The following is a 1,578-nucleotide window of genomic DNA, read 5'->3' as shown; positions in this document are numbered from 1 at the left end:
ACGGTGAGGATTACAGCTCATAAAGGCAGTGCAAAATCAAAAACTGAGCAGCAGCAAGTTTCATTGCAACAAGTAAAAAAACAAAGCTTCCACACTACCGAAGCAGACTTGAGCAGGTTGCCACTGCTAGCTTGGGCAGCCTGCTTTTATTCCCTTATCTGAGCCCACCCACATCCTGCTGATTGGCCCATTTTACAGAGAGCTGATTGGTCCATTTTACAGAGAGCTGATTGGTCCGTTTTACAGAGAGCTCATTGGTCTGTTTTGACAGGGTGCTGATTGGTGCGTTTACAAACCTTGAGCTAGACACAGAGTGCTGATTGGTGTATTTACAATCCCTGAGCTAGACACAGTGCTGATTGGTGCATATACACTCTTCCAGCTAGATATAAGAGTTCTCCAAGTCTCCACCTGACTGAGGAGCCCAGCTGGCTTTGCCTAGTGGATCCGTCGCGGGGTTCACTGGAGGAGCTGCCCACCAGTCCCGCCCCGCGGGCCCGCACTCCTCAGCCCTTCGGCAGTCGATGCGACCGCGAGCCCCTGAGCAGGGGGTGGCGCCCGTCAGGGAGGCTCCGGCTGTACTGTGCGGGAGCCCACCACGCGGGGGCGCTCGCGCATGGCGGGCTGCCGGTCCCGAGCCCTGCCCCGCGGGGAGGCGGCTGAGGCCTGGCGAGAATTCAAGCGCGGCGCGGGCGGGCTGGCAGTGCTGGGGGACCCGGCGCACCCTCTGCAGCTGCTGGCCTGGGTGCTAAGCCCCTCACTGACCGGGGCCGGCGGGGCTGGCCGGCCGATCCGAATGCGGGGCCCGCTGAGCCCGCGCCCACCGGGAGCTCGCGCTGGCCTGCGAGCGCCGCGCGCACAGCCCCGGTTCCCGCCCGCGCCGCTCCCTCCACACCTCCCAATAAGCAGAGGGAGCCGGCTCCGGCCTCCGCCAGCCCAAAGAGGGGCTCCCACAGTGCAGCGGCGGCCTGAAGGGCTCCTCAAGCACGGCCAGAGTGGGCGCCAAGGCCGAAGAGGGGCCCAGCGCGAGTGAGGGCTGCTAGCACGCTGTCACCTCTCACCAGCACATCAAGGGAAATGTGGTCTTCAGGAGAAGACAGAGGAGTGGAGAGTCATATGGTAAGTAGCAACCAGGAATGAGCACACAAAGAGGATATAACTTCAGAGGAGTTAAAAGAGATTTCCCAGATGAAATGGCATTTACACTGGTACCTTGACAATCAATTGTCTTTATCCTGATGAAGAAGGAATGATAAAGCCTTTTTTAAAAATAAGACAAAATATTTGCAGATGTGCAGATTGTGTATCTGATGGATTCCAATTAGTAGGACTGAAAGAGAAAAGGGAAGACTGAAAGAGGAAAGGGTGAGAGGTGAAACTTAGATAGCAGATAGGACCCACATAATTCGTTTTATATGGTACGTCAACAAAAGCTGGGCTTTATTTGTAAGGCACGATGACATGGGCATGAAATGGTCAGATTTTTATTTCATAAAAATCAGTTTAGCTAGATTGTGGCGATGATGATGCAGAAGTTTGAGTTGGAGGAACAAACCTGAAGCCCATTAAAATACTGCA

The 1,578-nt window shown here is 55.2% G+C and overlaps 1 annotated feature.

Annotated features, from left to right (window-relative positions):
• Window positions 317-816: an enhancer, noted in NCBI's record as "H3K27ac hESC enhancer chr2:79006189-79006688 (GRCh37/hg19 assembly coordinates)". NCBI's record gives its function as "activates a minimal SCP1, AML or CMV promoter by ChIP-STARR-seq in primed H9 embryonic stem cells {active_cell/tissue: H9 hESC(primed)}" and the evidence as "EXISTENCE:reporter gene assay evidence [ECO:0000049][PMID:30033119]".

This window comes from Homo sapiens, chromosome 2 (genome assembly GCF_000001405.40).
Source record: "Homo sapiens chromosome 2, GRCh38.p14 Primary Assembly".
In the NCBI taxonomy this organism is placed as follows: Eukaryota; Metazoa; Chordata; class Mammalia; order Primates; family Hominidae; genus Homo; species Homo sapiens.
This window is presented reverse-complemented; position numbering and strand designations above follow the sequence as displayed.